This window comes from Homo sapiens, chromosome 3, assembly GCF_000001405.40.
Source record: "Homo sapiens chromosome 3, GRCh38.p14 Primary Assembly".
NCBI classification, from domain to species: Eukaryota; Metazoa; Chordata; class Mammalia; order Primates; family Hominidae; genus Homo; species Homo sapiens.
This window is the reverse complement of record NC_000003.12, coordinates 11,430,440-11,447,553: the sequence shown is the minus strand read 5'-3', so window position 1 is coordinate 11,447,553 and position 17,114 is coordinate 11,430,440. Positions and strand designations below refer to the sequence as shown.

The following is a 17,114-nucleotide window of genomic DNA, read 5'->3' as shown; positions in this document are numbered from 1 at the left end:
TAAATGCCCCCATCTAGAGTCCTTGAAGCCCAGATTTCATGACCTGGTTTCATTAAGCAATAAATTACTTTTTTTTTTTTTTTCCCTGAGACGGAGTCTTGCACTGTTGCCCGGGCTGGAGTGCAATGGTGTGATCTCGGCTCACTGCAACCTCCACCTCCCAGGTTCAAGTGATTCTCCTGTTGCAGCCTCCTGAGTAGTTGGGATTACAGATGCCTGCCACCACACCAGGCTAATTTTTTCTATATTTTTAGTAGAGATGGGGTTTCACCATGTTGGCCAGGCTGGTCTCGAATTCCTGACCTCATGATCCACCCGCCTCAGCCTCCCAAAGTGCTGGGATTACAGGCGTAAGCCACTGTGTCCAGCCAATAAATTACTCTTTTATGCTAAAAAGAGTTCAAGCTTTTGGTTTCTATCACTTGTAACCAGGGTATGGATGGCTACAAAAGGTTTTTCACTGAAAATGACTGCTATGATGATCAAGTGAGTAAATGCAAGTAAATGCCCTCTGAAAAAGACAAGGTGCCACCCAAGTGTCAGATACTGATCACATGTGATATGGTTACATGTGACAGACGGACACTAAAAAACACCACTGACTTGATGTCAGGCAGTAAATTTCAGAAAACTTTTTATTACAGAGACCTTTGAAGATACACAGAGGTAGATGGACAACACGATGTCTCTCATACCTCCCCAGCCCCAATAACCATCACTCATGGCCCAGTCCAGGAGACCAGTGATTTCAACCACCTCCCCCTGGAGCATAGCTGGTTCACCTTGACTGTGCCTTGGTTCCAGGCCCAAGTAGCCCCTTGACTGGATTTAGAGGTTGAGTCCCTGGCAGTGGGGTAGCATCTTACAGGAAGAAGTCAAAAGTCAGGAATTCATGAATTCAGTCTGGTCAGGCTTGCAGTCTGCTCAAGTACCATGATGTATCATGTGCCTCATTCTTTTAAAGGCTCATTTATGACATTTTAACACTGTCATTGGATGTGTGTTTTGTCACAGTAGGTATCAATGTAAGAAAATCTTCTTAGTGCTAAAAGTAAACCAGATACAATAAAGTATTTTGAATGATGACGCCAAGTTTCCCCTACGGACTAAATTAAGGAGTCTCCTCCTTTATATAACGCATTTACAAAAGTAGATTATAGTCTTACAAATAAAGAGTCTCTGGCATACTTAATTCAGGGTGCAGACAAGGAAGATGATTGAAACCATGAAATCTAGGTGTTAAAGACTTATTCTATCGTTATCACAGAATGTTGAAATGGATATAGTAACCTTTAATCCAATTTAATCAGGCTTTCTGGTGCAGATGTGGTCTAAACATTTTTTTAAAGCATCCTAGATAATTCTGATGGGCAGCCAAGGTTCAGAACTGCTGCTCTAACCCAGCCAATACTTTTATTTAGCAAATGAGGATGCTGAGGGCCAGAGGTGTGGGACTCTGACCAAGTCAAACATCTGGGATTAGAACAAAGGTCGCTGGGCTCCATCATACTTTTCAAGTGAATAACTAGGTCATCCTACTGTGCTTTCTTTTCACAGGGGCTACACAAGCATAACATATGAAAATTTTTGGAGTTGAAGTAGAGAAACTATCAGAAAAGAAGAATCCAAATAAGTAATATACATAAGACGTTTAACATCATCAGTGATCAGGAAAATGCAAAGTAAAAGCCTAATATGATACTGTTATACAGATTGGCAAAAATTTTAAAATGTGACAGTACCAAGATTCTGGCAAGGATAAGGGACCACAGAAACTACCATATACTACTGGTATTCATGTAAGTCAGTGAACTGCTTTGGAAAACAGTCATGATTTAATAAAATTGAAGATGCATATTTTCTTTTTTTGAAACTTGTAAGTTCAGGGGTATATGTGCAGGCTTATTATATAGGTAAACCCATGACATGGGGACTTGTCGTACAGATTATTTCATCACCCAGGTATTAGGCCTGGTGCCCATTAGTTATTTTTCCTGATCCTCTTCCTCCTCCCACCCTCCATCCTCCACCAGACCCTAGTGTGTGTTGTTCCCATGTGTCCATGTGTTCTCATGATTCAGCTCCCACTTATAAGTGATAACATATGGTATTAGGTTTTCTGCTCCTCGATGAGTTTGTAAGGATAAAGGCCTCCAGCTCCATCCATGATCTTCTTTTTTATGGCTGCATAGTATTCCATGGTGTATATGTACTACATTTTCTTTATCCAGTCTACCACTGATGGGCATTTAAGTTGATTCTATGTCTTCGCTATTGTGAATAGTGCTGCAGTGAACATCTGTGTGCACGTGTCTTTATGGCAGAATGATTTATATTCCTTTGGGTATATACCCAGTAATGGGATTGCTGGGTCAAATGGTATTTCTGTTTATAGGTCTTTGAAGAATCTCCACACTGCTTTCTACAACGATTTAACTAATTTACACTTCCACCAATAGTGTATAAGCGTTCCTTTTTCACCACAACCTCGCCAGCATCTATTGTTTGACTTTTTCATAATAGCCGTTCTGACTGGTGTGAGATGTATTTCACTGTGGTTTTGATTTGTATTTCTCTAATGACTAGTGATGATGAGCTTTTTAACATATGCTTTTTCGCCACATGTATGTCTTCTTTTAGAAGTGTGTGTTTATGTCCTTTGCCCACTTTTTAATGGGGTTTTTTCCTTGTAAATTTGTCTAAATTCCTTGTAGTGCTGGATATTAGACCTTTGTCAGATGCATAGTTTGAGAAAATTTTCTCCCATTCTGTAGATTATCTATTTACTGATAGTTTCTTTTGCTGTGCAGAAGCTCTTTAGTTTAATTAGATCCCATTTGTCAATTTTTGCTTTTGTTGCAATTGTTTTTGGCATCATCATGAAATTTTTGCCTGTTCCTATGTCCAGAAGTAAGGGCCAGGATGTCTGGATGTCTTCCAGGGTTTTAATAGTTTTGGGTTTTACATTTAAGTCCATGGTCCAGAAGAGGCATATTTTCTACGACCCAACAATTCTAGTATGAGATAAATAACTTACAGTATGCCTTCACAAAGAGGGTGATATCACCCCCAAAGGAGCAAAAATTGGTCTTTGGCAGGCAAAAGAAATCTTAGATATGACAGTGTTTAGTGGCTCTCCAAAGCTCAGCCCTATCTGACAAACCCTATTCTTTAGTATTAATTAAATTCTAAACTGTTGGCATTAAATTATCCCCCTAGGAGGAGTGATAATGAAAAGAAGGTTGAGAAACACCCAGAGAAATGCTGCACATGAACCCCAGGAGATATATACCAGAATGCTCCAAACAGCACACTTCATTATAATCTGAGACTAGAAATGCTACCGTAGAGGAGAAATTTCAATATATCCAATTATGAAACACTACATAGCAACGAAAATGAACTTTAGCCGCACAGCAAATGGGTAACCTTTACAATATTGGGCAAAACAAGACACGAAAGAATCTACATATTATAGCATAATTCTGTTTGAAAAATTCAAAGTCAGGCAAATAGAATTATATTGTTTAAGACCCATATACCAGACTGAAGTTGTACAGGAAAAGTTTACTGTTTCTAGTTACTAGTTACTTCTAGGCCTGTGGTCAGAAAGTAAAATATGAGATGGGTGAAGGGCAACGAGAGTATTTTTTGACCTGGGTGTTTAATTCATACTTGTTCTCTATATAAAATGTTTTAAGCTTTTTTCTGCATATGTTATAGCTCATTTGGAAATATTAAAATATAAGAGAAAAAAGCAGGGGGGGAAATTTTCTTGATCTTTGTCACTTTAACTTTTCTAAAGCTCAAGTTATTCCTCCATTCACAAGTAATAATACAAACCTCCTCGGCCAGGTGCAGTGACTCAGACCTGTAATCCCACTCAGGCCTGTAATCCCAACACTTTGGGAGGCTGAGGCAGGTGGATCATTTGAGCCCAGGAGTTCAAGACCAGCCTGGGCAACATGGCAAAACCCTGTCTCTACTAAGATACAAAAAATTAGCCAGACATAGTGACACATGCCTGTGGCCCCAGCTACTCAGGAGGATGAGGTTGGGAGGATCACTTGAGCTTGGAAGGTTGAGGCTGCAGTGAGCCAAGATTGTGCCACTGCACTCCAGCCTGGGTGACAAGGTGAGACCCTGTCTCAAAAAACAACAACGAAGAAAAGGAAACCACCTCAAACATGCATGGTGCTTTCATTTATATAATCTCCTTTGCCCCTCAGCCTTAGTAGTAAGGAGTGAGCCAGAACTCATTTTTCAAGGGAGATAATGGTTTAAGACTAGTAGGAGTGCCAGGTGGATCTCATGGGGAAGTAGACAGGCATTGCTGAACAAAAGATCAGCTGAGCAGGCTGGAGGTGGGAGCACGCCCCACACAGAAGTGTGTATGGTGGCCCAGAGGGAGTGCATGGCGACACCTGGAGAAGAGGCCATGTTCAGCTGTCCTTTTGAGGAGTCAATTTCAAAACAGGGAAGAGTGTCTTTTCTAAATGATGTTTTAATCAAGCAGTTGCCACTGTTTCACACTATGAAGTTTTTACACAGATTTTTTTGGGAACAATAATACATATTCTTACACCCTGACTAAAATCAAATAGTTGTTTTTCCTTTTGTTTTGTTTGTTGTACAGCCAAGGTCTTGCTTTGTGGCCCAGGCTGGAGTGAAGTGGCACAATCTTAGCTCAATGCAGCCTCGAACTCCTGGGCTCTAGCAATCTTCCCATCTCAGCCTCCCAAGTAGCTGGGACTACAGGCATGTGCCACCAAACCTGGCTAATTTTTTTTTTTTTTTTTTTTTTTTTTTTTTTTGTAGAGATGGAGTCTCACTATGCTGCCCAAGCTGGTCTTCAACTTCTAGTCTCACACAATCCTCCCACCTCAGACTCCCAAAGTGCTGAGATTACAGGCATGTAATCCCACGCACCTGGCCCTAAAATACTTTAAAATAGGTTATTCTACAATGAAACCACCTATTGCTAATCACTTTGACAGTCTAATAATATCCATTTAATACACATTAAAATTTTAATGGCTAATGATTGTTTAAAGTTCAAGATATTTACGTTCAAAGGCCTATGATATATATCCCGAAACATTTTTATGAAAAAAATCTAGTTTTCCATTTGGTTCGTTTGTATTTAGTTTCCAATAACAAATGTTTGTATTAAAGATTTCAAAGCACATCAACTTTGTGGAGTAGGCATTATCCCATTTTACAGATGAAATCCAGGCAAGATGAAGTGATGCAACTAGCGATGGGGCCAGGAGTGAACACCTTCTCTTCAGGACCCACATCCTATGCTCCCTTCCATAAGACCACCCTGTTTCTGGGCCCACACTGCTAAGGGCTGAAGAGAGCTTGGCTTACTATTACTTCAGCCTAGCGATCATGGTACTGGATGATAACATTGTATTTCCACAGGTTACCGTTGAAAGAAAGAGAAGAGTCTGGGTGTGATGGCCCACACCTGTAATCTCAGAACTTTGTGAAGTCGAAGCAGGTGAATGGCTTGAGGCCAGGAGTTCAAGACCAGCCTGGGCAACATAGTGAAACCTCATCTTTATAAAAAAATACAAAAATTGGGCCAGGCGCGGTGGCTCACGCCTGTAATCCCAGCACTTTGGGAGGCCAAGGTGGGTGGATCACCTGAGGTCAAGAGTTCAAGACCAGCTTGGCCAACATGGTGAAACCTGTGTCTACTAAAAATATGAAAATTAGCCAGGTGTGGTGGCAGGCGCCTGTAGTCCCAGATTCTTGGGAGGCTGAGGCAGGAGAATTGCTTGAACCCGGGAGGCAGAGGTTGCAGTGAGCTGAGATCACGCCATTGCACTCCAGCCTGGGCAACAGAGCAAGACTCTGTCTCAAAAAAAAAAAAAATTAAAAAAAAAAAAAGGAGAAAGGGGAAGGAAGAAACAGAGTACAGATAAACCAATATTTGGGTACAGAAACTTGTAACAGTTACCTCTAAAAGATTGGTTCCAAACTGGTGCTTTAAAACATAATGCAGGCTGGTTGCGGTGACTCACGCCTGTAATCCCAGCACTTTCGGAGGCCGAGGTGGGTGGATCATGAGGTCACGAGTGCAAGACCAGCCTGGCCAAGATGCTGAAACCTTGTCTCTACTAAAAATACAAAAAAATTAACTGGGTGTGGTGGCATGCACCTGTAATCCCAGCTATTCGGGAGGTTGAGGTAGAGAATTTCTTAGACCTGGAGGCAGAGGTTTCAGTAAGCTGAGATCATGTCACTGCGCTCCAGCCTGGGCAACAGAGTGAGACTCCATCTCAAAAAATTAATAAATAAAAAATTTAAAAATCCAACTTTCTTTCCTTTTAATAAAGCATTGGGTAAAATTAAGTATGGCCTCTTTCAAAGAGGATTAAGGTAGGATAAACACAGATGCTTGAAAGCTAGCAGCAAATTATAACAAAACAAAAATATCCCACAGCAGTTTACATATTTGTTATTAGAAACTCAACAACTTTGTCCTGCAACAATAAGATATAAATATTTCTAGTTTAATACTGAATTTTTTTCACCAGATAGCTGAATAAAAGCAAATGGGGGCCAGGCACAGTGGCTCATGCCTATATCTCAGCACTTTGGGAGGCCGAGGCAGGTGGATCACCTGAGGTCAGGAGTTTGAGACCAGCCTAACCAGCATGGCAAAACCCCATCTCTACTAAAAATACAAAAACTAGCCAGGCATGGTAGCAGATGCCTGTAATCCCAGCTGCTTGGGAGGCTGAGGCAGGAGAATAGCTTAAACCCGGGAGGCAAAGGTTGCAGTGAGCCAAGATTGCACCATTGCACTCCAGCCTGGGCGACAAGAGCGAAAGTCCGTCTCAAAAAAAAAAAAAAAAAAAAAAAAAAGCAAATGGGGACCAACTCTTCCCTAAATTGTAAAGGGAAATTAAGAGTAAAGGCCGGGCGCGGTGGCTCACGCCTGTAATCCCAGCACTTTGGGAGGCCGAGGCGGGCGGATCACGAGGTCAGGAGATCGAGACCATCCCGGCTAAAACGGTGAAACCCCGTCTCTACTAAAAATACAAAAAATTAGCCGGGCGTAGTGGCGGGCGCCTGTAGTCCCAGCTACTTGGGAGGCTGAGGCAGGAGAATGGCGTGAACCCGGGAGGCGGAGCTTGCAGTGAGCCGAGATCCCGCCACTGCACTCCAGCCTGGGCGACAGAGCGAGACTCCGTCTCAAAAAAAAAAAAAAAAAAAGAGTAAAGGCCAGAAAGAAAGGACTTATCTCTTACCTGCTCTTTTCCCAATGGTAAGTTGGGATTGGAGTCGCAAGTTCATCTACAAGTAAAATCTCATTCCCACGGATTTTATTAGAAGCCAGTTTAAGAGTAAGAAAGTACAGTAAGGCCCCAGGATGGTACAGTGAAAGAAACTATGCTATCTGAGAAGTAGTTGTAAGGACACAGACAAAAAGCAAAACCGCTTTTGGAAACTGCTCAATATGAAAGTAGAGATATGTTCTATAAAGCAGAATGCCTCTGCATCACCCTATGCACTTCTTCCTCTCTGATTCCAGCCTTATGAAGTGTACTGTAAACCTCAAGATGTAGATAAATCCTGAGCATAGCTACAGTCTTGACAACTTCATCCATAAAATGGGATAATAGTCACCTCCTAAGATTGTTATGGGCATCAAAAGGGCAGGTACAAAAGCGCCCTGAAAATCACAGATAACGCAATTAACATTAGTTGCTATACCTCTCTTGGTACTCTTCATCAGAGACTTGGATGTGGTCATGCCACAGGCCCTTCTGGAAAGCTTTTTCTCTCCTGCACTTGGAGCTCCAACCTTCAAGACGCACCTCAAAACCTAACTCTTCCCTGGAGCTCTCTCTTGCTCCTGATGTTCCTGAAACCCTGCAGAACTTACTGCACCACGTGCACACCCACTGCCTTGCAGTCCTAGTGACTTTCCTGTCCTATCTCCCCAACTATACTGCGTCTGCCTCCTAAAAGCCTGGCTTGTACCTCTTTGACTCCCACACCATGAACTCAGCAAAGGGTCAATAAATATCTGTTGACTGATAGAAGCCATGATAAAAGATCAACAATATTTAATTTTAAAAAACACACACCTTAGGATATTTCACATTCCCTTCCCTCCCTGCTCCCCTACAGCTGAGAAGCAAGATGGATCAAGACTAAGAGCTCAGGCCCGGTGCAGTGGCTCACACCTGTAATCCCAGCACTTTCTGAGGCTGAGACGGGCAGATCATTTGAGGTAAGGAGTTCGAGACCAGCCTGGCCAACATGGCGAAACCCCATCCCTACTAAAACTACAAAAAATAGCCGGGCGTGGTGGTGGGCGCCTGTAGTCCCTGCTACTCGGGAGGCTGAGGCAGGAGAATCGCTTGAACCTGGGAGACGGAGGTTGCAGTGAGCCAAGATCACGCCACTGCATTCCAGCCTGTGCAACAGGGTGAGACTCTGTCTCAAAAAAAAAAAAAAAAAGAAAGAAAGAAAAGAAAAAGAAAATAAGACTAAGAGCTCAGAACTAAAAATCAATTTAATTTTACAGTCTCAAAATATGGAAACTCCCCAAATTCAACACATAGCAGCTGTTATGTTTGCAAGTGAGAAGGGTCAGCTGTAAAAATACAGCCCCTAGAATAGCGGTCACAGGGCAAACTGCAAGAACACCTCCCAGGGAAGCCTCCACTGCTGATGTGAAGCCAGGAAGTTAGGCTCAGCAGCGCCACAGGCCAGAGATTCTCCACTTCCTGATCTCCAAGAATTCCTTTAGTTTTCACTTTCTCTCTCACATATTAGATCTTGAAAAACCTCTCCTACCCAGCAAATGCACTAATTTGCCTAATTTTTTTAATAATTCAAAGGGATTCATAACTACCAATCAGAGCTTCTGGCCAGGTCAGATAACAGTATGCCATTCCATTCTGAGACAACAGAATTTAGGTTAAAAAGAAAAAAAATCTTTATTTTTGTTTTGTTTTAGTTAAGACAAGGTCTCCCTCTGTCTCCCAGGCTGGAGTACAGTGGTACAATCTTGGCTCACTGCAACCTCCACCTCCCGGGTTCAAGCGATCCTCCCACCTCAGCCTCCCAAGTAGCTAGGACTACAGGTACAAGCCACCACGCCTGGCTAAAATCTTGATAGTTCAGTTGGTCAATGTAATCTTTTCAAGTCCTAAATGTTTTACTCCTGTTTGACTTTTCAAAATATTGAAAATAGCCTTCATAGTCCCATTCCTACCTCCTTAAAAGCCTCCACCATTGGGGACCCTGGATGGAGGATGGGTGGGAACCACTGCTCAGGGCTGGTTGGCTCTCAGGGCTGCTTCAATCAGACCAGGATGCCCTGGTGACACCCAGAGAAGACGCTCACCTAGAAGAGGCCTGCTGGAGCAGCAGGACCTCAGGGGCATGTTGCCTAATAGGGTAATTGTGTCTCCCCATTTAGAGAGGAGCGTGAGGGTGTCAAGGGAATTAAAAAGATATGCTTAAGTGGATATCACTTGGTATGTATGACCAGTGCTTAAGTATTATTGGAAAAAACTCTAAGTATAATATTACCAGCTTGAGGAAAAAGCAAACAATAGTTTAAAATCCTGTACATTTCTGGGAAAATTCGGACATGTACTGGATTTTAGGTGGTATTATGGAATTATTCTTTGTTGTTCTGTGATGATGGTACTCTGTTTACATCAGAGAATGTCTATATTCTTAGCAGATTCATGCTAAAATTTAGGGGTGAGGTGCCGCTGTATATAAAACTTGCTTTCAAATGGTTTAAAAGAGAAAACGAGCAAGTATATATGCGAACTGTGATAAGACGTCGGGGGAGTGCATGCACGTACACAGAGAGATAAACCACATGTGGCAAAATGTTAATTGTTGGATCCAGGTAGGAGTATGTGGGTATTCACTGTACTTTTCATTCAACTTTCTGGTATATTTGGGAATTTTCAAGCTAAAAAATCTTGGGGGAAAAATCCTGTGGTAAACAGGGAAATTTTAAAAATTCAGATCCAGGTTGGGATTTAGATCCTCTAAACACCTGCTTAAACTTACACAAACAGATAGCAACGTGCTCTCATCTTCCCCTAACCCCTTTATCTGCGATGTCTTCTATGGATGGAGCCAACTGTGGCTTTCTCTCCCCACAGCAAGCACAGAGGGGAGGCATTTGGTTGGTAGGCCCCTCCATCTCTTCCCTCAGTGTTTACAGGCTATCCATAGCATAAGAAAAGGCTAAAGGAGGTGCACAGAGACTAAGGCTTTGAAAACTGAGGCACAATAAAAATGGAAGAGATCCTTGTCATAATCTACAGAAAACGCATTCCTAAAAACAATGAGCTAACATCCTACGACAGCCTGTCACAGAGAGAAAATCAACATTGCATGCAGAGAGAACCAGAGAAAGGAGAGAGGGAAGGAGAAACAAAATGCCCCAACTATGGGCACTTTTTGTCTTGCTTTTTAAACATCTGTATTGATAATTCACACACCATATGATTCATCCATTCAGAGTATAGAATTCAATGGTTTTAGTATAATCACCGTTGTGCAACCATCATCACTATCTAAGATTAGAACATTTCATCACCTCGAAAGGAAACATTTTAAGTAGCCACTGATTTTCCCTTAATCCCCCATCCCCACCTGCTGACAACCATTAATCTACTTTCTTGACTATATGGACTTTAAAACTCTGGACATTTCACATAAATGAGATCCTACAATATGTGTCCTTTTGTGACTGGCTTCTTCAATTAGTGTAACATTTTCAATGTTCATCCATACTATAACATGTATTAGTACTTCCTTATTATTGCTGAATACTCCATTATTCCAGCGTAATAGCTGACATTTTATCCATCCATTCATCAGCTAATGAACATCTGCATTGTTTCCACTTTTTGACAATTATGAATAAATAATAGTGTTAGGAACACTGTGTACATTTTTTGTGTGCACATTTTCATTTCTCTGGGCTATATTTATACACACACACACATATACAATTTTTGGTACTGTTCCTTGTGGAACAGGGCTACCCTATAGGCAGGGTGTCCAGAGTAGCCTTGGGTATATATCTAGGGGTACAATCCCTGGGTCACATGGTAATTCTATGTTTAATTTTTCAAGGAACTGTTAAACAGTTTTCCAAAGTGGCTGCAGAATTTGACACTCCCACTAGTAGGTAGGAGGCTTCTAATTTCCCTACATCTTCATAAACATTGGATGTTGTCATTTTGATTATAGCCATCTTACTGGGTATGAATGCCATCTCACAGTAGTTTCAATTTGTATTGTCCCAATGGCTATTGATGTTGGGCATCTTATTTGATTATGCTATCATGTGATTATCTGTATATCTTCTTTGGAGAAATGTTGTTTTAAATCTAATGCCCATTTTTAATTGAGTTCTGTATCTTTATATTATTAAGTTGTAAGAGTTCCCTATATATTCTGGGTTTTGTTGTTGTTTTTAGAGATGGGTTCTCACTGTGCTGCCCAGGCTGGTCTCCAGCTCCTGGGCTCAAACGATACACTCACCCCAGCCTCCCAAGCAGCTGGGACTGTAGGCACATGCCACCACACCCAGCTTAGAGTTCCCTCTATATTCTAGATACCACACCCTTATCAGGTATGATTTGCAAAATGCTGTTCTCTCTTATACTGTGGCCCACTTTTTCGTATTCTTATGTCCTTTGAAGCACAAAATTTAAAATTTTGATGGAGTCCAGTATTTTTCTTTTGTAAGGTGCCTTCTTACTTAATATGGTAATTGTGAGGAGTAGGAATTATTAATCACATCCTACAAAATGATGGAAACGAAGGTCAATGAAGTAAATAACCCAAGGTCTCACATGACTGCTGCACACGGTCCTGCCTGACACGGCCCACACAGAGGAACATGGCAGTCTTGGCTATGTGTGGGAGCTGAGGTATGAACTCAGACCTTCTGACCAGGCCAGGATTCGGGTTACTCATACACTTTATGAGTATTCTAATGTAATATGGCTGATTATTAAAGTAACTCTCCTGTTATTACACATTCAGCATTCTAAGGATGCTGCTATTAAAGTAAGAGGGCTTTGGAACTCATCTTCGGAAGCTGTACTGAGGGGTAGTGAGTAGCATGTTTCATGAACATACCCAGTTATGGCCAGGGTGGATTTGAGTTTATAAAGAAGTCAAAAGTGGCACCGAGTCTGGTGAAGGAGGTAAGTTATTAGGCTGAATTACACCATTTTAGATTTATACGTACAGTGACACACATCAATACAAAGTATAAGCAATGTTCTATTAAGGCTCAAAGTAGATGTAAATCTCAAAATCTGCAAAAAGTTGTTTCTGGCAATGGTAGCTAGATATAATAGATACCAAAGAATATTTATAAAATGTATAAAAAGTAAGTACTTTGATATATTTTTAAACACTTTTATGTAAAAATTATCCATCTTTTTCCTTTTTGGTTATACATGGTATATTTGAATCAAAATCACTAAATTAGAGTTGAAAAGCATTTCATTTTTTTCTAGAAAGGAGGCTTAAAAAAAGAATTTCACATGATTCAATCCTCTCATTTTAAGTGGGGAAGCATGCACAGGACACTGAAGGATTCATCCAAGGTCACTCATGAGAACACTGGCGGAACCAGGAGTACAATGTAAGAAGGACTGGATTCCCATGTTCTGTTTCCTAATATTAGCTGTCTTTGCTTTGCTTTCAGCATTTATGATTTCCCCCCTTCTTTCTCGCTTAGACTTCTCCAAGCGGATTATACCATCCGAGACTCTTTTCCGAAGGGTGGGGAACTCTGCCCAGACTTCATTGTCTATTTTCCAATTGCAACTTTCCCCAATAACGATTTATCCAAACATCTCAAATTCATGTAGATAACTCTGACAGCAAATAAAAGGTACACATTTTATAAAGTAAGTTATAAGTGAGATACTGCCAAGCTTTATTTCAAAAACCAGGCTCTAGTTTCCAATCTAAGAAGTAAATGGCTTTCTGCCTGTTTCTGCCTTTCCTCCCTCACTCAGGAGAGAGGGCCAAGGCTGTGTCTTGAGGGATTGCTTCATAAGGAAAAATCAAGGCAGGGCACAGTCCCAGGATGGCCAGCATGGGTTGGAAGTGAGCTAGCAGAAGGCTCTGGGAAAAGGGAACTGGATTCATGAGCAGGCTAGTTCAGTCCCCAGAGCGATTTCTCTCCATTGGAAACAGGTCTGAGTGCTGACACGGGGGTTTCCCACAGCTTCTGCTGGCCTCCAAAGGCATATTTGTCATCAGAGGCTCTTGATGAAGCTGTACATAAATATCTGACTGTTGTTAAATGCAAAACAAAACAAAACAAAAATATTCCACAGGAACCAAATCAAAACCAGCTGTGTGGGGGAGAGGCCAAAATCTCAGTGTAAGTGCAAAAGGCCCAGCAGAAACACTTGTTAATTGTGTTATTTACTTTGCTGAATAGTAAATTGCTGTGCCAATGAAGTCATATCACATGACCGTAATGTTTTTCATATGACTTTTTGGCTATGAGAGAAATGGGCATTTTCTAGAATTCTGAGTTCTATAGTGAATGAATCACAATCTACATTTTAATTCATAACCAATTAATCAGCTCAGCCCTGTTCATTTCTGCTGGTCTGTTTATGATTTTATAGCCTATGTTATGGTTGTTGCTTTCTTTTTAGATGATCATTCATTAATCCCCAAATCTGCAGAAAGGAAGTTCTATTTAGCACAACCTTGACAAAATGCAAATTATATTAATGGTGCACTGTAATTGCAACCCTGAAATCATAACTGCATGGTACAACATCAAATACTGACAATATGGTCAAGGCAAGGAAGTAAAACAGCCTAAAATTAATCCTGGAATCATGGAACGTGCAAACTTTCATGAATAGGAATGAAGTATTTCAGGGAAATTGGGTAAAGGGACTTAGGAATTTGAATTTCTCAGGGATATACCAATATAGCTTGTTCTATTAACTCTCTTATAAATTAGTCTTATCTCTAGTTACATTCAGTTAGAAAATATTTTGGCATTTCTCATAGTATGATGTTGAACCCACAGTTGGAACAAATAAATACATGTGAACTGATACTTATTCTACTCATAGGATGAGAAATAACTCTAAGAAGGTAAGTCACAGCAAATTTTTGTGGAACATGGCTAAGGTGTTCATATGTTTGATTTAGACTGAGCATTTCTTCAACAAACGCAGCTTTTTTTTTTTTTTTTTTTTTTTTTTAAATAAGAGACAGGGTCTTGCTCTGTCACCCAGGCTGGAGTACAGTGGCACAATCATAGCTCACTGTCTGCCGCAAACTCCTGGGCTCAAGTGATCCTCCTGCCTCAGCATTATAAGTAGCTGGTGTGTCACCATGCCTGGCTAATTTCTAATTTTCTTAAATAGAGACAGAGGCTCACCATCTAGCCCAGGCTGGCCTTAAACTCCCAGACCCAAGCAATCCTCCCAACTTAGCCTCCCAAAGTGCTGGGATTTCAGGTGTAAGCCACTGTACCCATCCCAAATGCAGCAATTTAAAAGATACTTGGGGAGAACCTCAATAGCTCCATGACTTGGACACCCTGTGGTTCATCAGCTTTAAGGCCATTTCCCTGGGTTCCAAATAGGATAAATAAAGATCTAGGAGGGATAGGGAGTCAGGATCTATCTCCAAGTATCCAAACCCATTCTCAGTAAAGGCCTTGGAAGTAAAGGTCAGAGCTTTATGCAAAATTCCCTAATTTACAAGGCAACATTTTAAGAGGGAAGAAAGCTGAGTGGGGCCTTTCTTCCATTGAACCTCCTAATCCCCCATGAGCAGAATGTAACTATAATTTGGCAAAGAATACGGCTATCTGTCCAAGTCCCCTTCTTTTTTTTTATTTCAATAGTTTCTGGGGTACAGGTGATTTTTGGTTATGTAGATAAGTTCTTTAGTGGTGATTTCTGAGATTTTAGTCCACTTGTCACCCAAGCAGTGTACACACAGCACCCAATATGTCTTTTATCCTTTACCCCCCCTCCCAAGCTTCTCCCTCAAGTCCCAAAAGTCCATTATATCATTCTTATGCAAGGCTCCTTCTTCATAAAAATGTAACATTAGCAAAGGCAAATGGCATTTATGTGGTACTTAAATTTTTTAATCTATAACTTGAGATTAATAAAATTAATCTACCACACACATTTCTCATTAAAATTTTTTTTATTGCATCCTAGCTGTCTAGCCTCTCCTCACTGTGCTAAATGGAATAGGGTAAATCTCCTTTGTCTAGCTAAATCCATTTACTAGTGCTATTCTTTTTCTCCAAGCTCCATCTCCATCCCATCTCCAACGCCAACCAGTCATTTTCACTCACTTATCCCATTACCTCAAAGTCATCACTACCTAAAACAATTCATCTTTGTCAGCCTGGTCCCCAGTCTCCACTATGCACCCTCACACATTGACCTCTCCCCCTCCAATAAAAAACTAACTTGGTAATTTGCCTGCTAATCTCAACAGCAGTATGATTATACCAGTAACCTAGTTCAAAATCATTGCAATCATTTCCAGGTACCTGATGGACAGGGGATGAGTGCAAAAAATTGGGTTGCACTAGTCAATCTCACTAAATCTAGATGATTCTAGCTTGGATATGGCTTCCAATTCATTACTATGTGCCCCTTTCTATATAAATATAAAGGAATTTGTAGTCTCTAGTTGGATCAGCTTTGCATTCCTCCTTCATAAAGGGGCTATATTTAGGGAGACAGACCACAGGTGCAAAGAATATGGAAAATTGTAATAGCATTGAGACTTTTTCTTTAAATGAAAAACAATTGCGTACCTTGCTACAACATGAATAAACCTTAAAAACATTGTGCTAAATAGAAGATGCCAGACACAAAGGATCATTTATGTGATGTGTCCAGAATAGAAAAATCCTTACAGACAGAAAGAAGATTAGTGGTTGCCAGGGGCTGGAAGGAGGAGGGAACAGGGAGTGACCTTTTAATAGGTTCAGAGTTTGTTTTGGGTGTGGGGGATGAAAATTTTCTAAACAGAGAGTGGTAATGGTTGCACAACTCTGTGAATATACTAAAAACCACTGAACTGCACACTTTAAAAAGGTGTGTGTGTGTTGTGTGTGGTTGTTTTTTTCCCCCCGCCCTTGCAGGCTGGAGTGCAACAGCACAATCTCAGCTCACTGCAGCCTCCACCTCCCGGGTTCAAGTGATTCTCCTGCCTCAGCCTCCCGAGTAGCTGGGATTACAGGCACATGCCACCACACCCAGCTAATTTTGTATTTTTAGTAGAGACAAGGTTTCGCCATGTTGGCTAGGCTGGTCTCAAACTCCTGACCTCAAGTGATCCACCCACCTCGGCCTCCCAAAAGTGCTGGGATTACAGGCGTGAGCCACTGCGCCCAGCCAAAATGGTGTGTTTTATGGTATGTGAATTATAACTCAATAAAGCTATTATTAAAAAACATTATGTTGACTTCAGGTAACTGTGGCTCCAAGTACATCACACTACTCATGATTTTGAGTAATATACTAAAGACTTGGCCTCGGAGACCTTTATTCAGTCTAGAACGCCCTAGGCTTCTTGCCCTTCCCTTCTCTACTCTTTCTCTGCCAAAATCCAACTTTTATTTTTAAAAATAGTCTACTCATCCTTTAAAACTAAGTGAAATATTTGTTCTCTTCCTGTGAAGCTTTTCTTGACATCCTATTCCCCTAGGCAGAAGTAACTGCTCTCTCAGCACTTAATATACAAATGACTAAAACATTTTTTATTGCATTAGAGCTCACTATTTCCATGTCAGCTTCTCACACTAGACTATGAGCCCTTGAGGGTCAGTGTCTCATTAACTTCTGTATTCAGTTACTAGCACAGTGCTTGGTATCAGATTTTCAAAAGATGTTCAGTATATTTTTTAAACACGTATTTTATAAACAAAGTATATAATGGTAATGTCACATATAATTATCTAGTTGAATCGTTTGCAATTCCAATGTTGATTGATGTAAATAGTTAACCCAAAATGAGAATTAATTTAGCATCTTGATTGTGTTGCTAAAATAAATAAGTGGAGACCTTTCTACGTA

At 40.9% G+C, this 17,114-nt stretch overlaps 1 protein-coding gene across 38 annotated transcripts in view; it reads right to left on the bottom strand.

The window, feature by feature from the left end:
• The window catches only part of ATG7 (autophagy related 7), a 303,957-nt gene that overhangs the window by 128,800 nt on the left and 158,043 nt on the right, over positions 1–17,114 (bottom strand). For 2 of the 38 annotated variants that reach the window (XM_047447300.1, XM_047447306.1), the window contains one exon: positions 618–1,045. The exons of 34 other annotated variants lie outside the window; for them this stretch is intronic. In XM_047447300.1, coding sequence (XP_047303256.1) covers positions 1,040–1,045 — 6 coding nt within the window. In that variant the 3' untranslated portion in view covers positions 618–1,039. Of the gene's footprint in view, positions 1–617; positions 1,046–12,931; positions 13,309–17,114 lie in introns of those variants that run through there. 2 more of the 38 variants (XM_024453312.2, XM_017005550.2) reach the window with 1 other exon arrangement.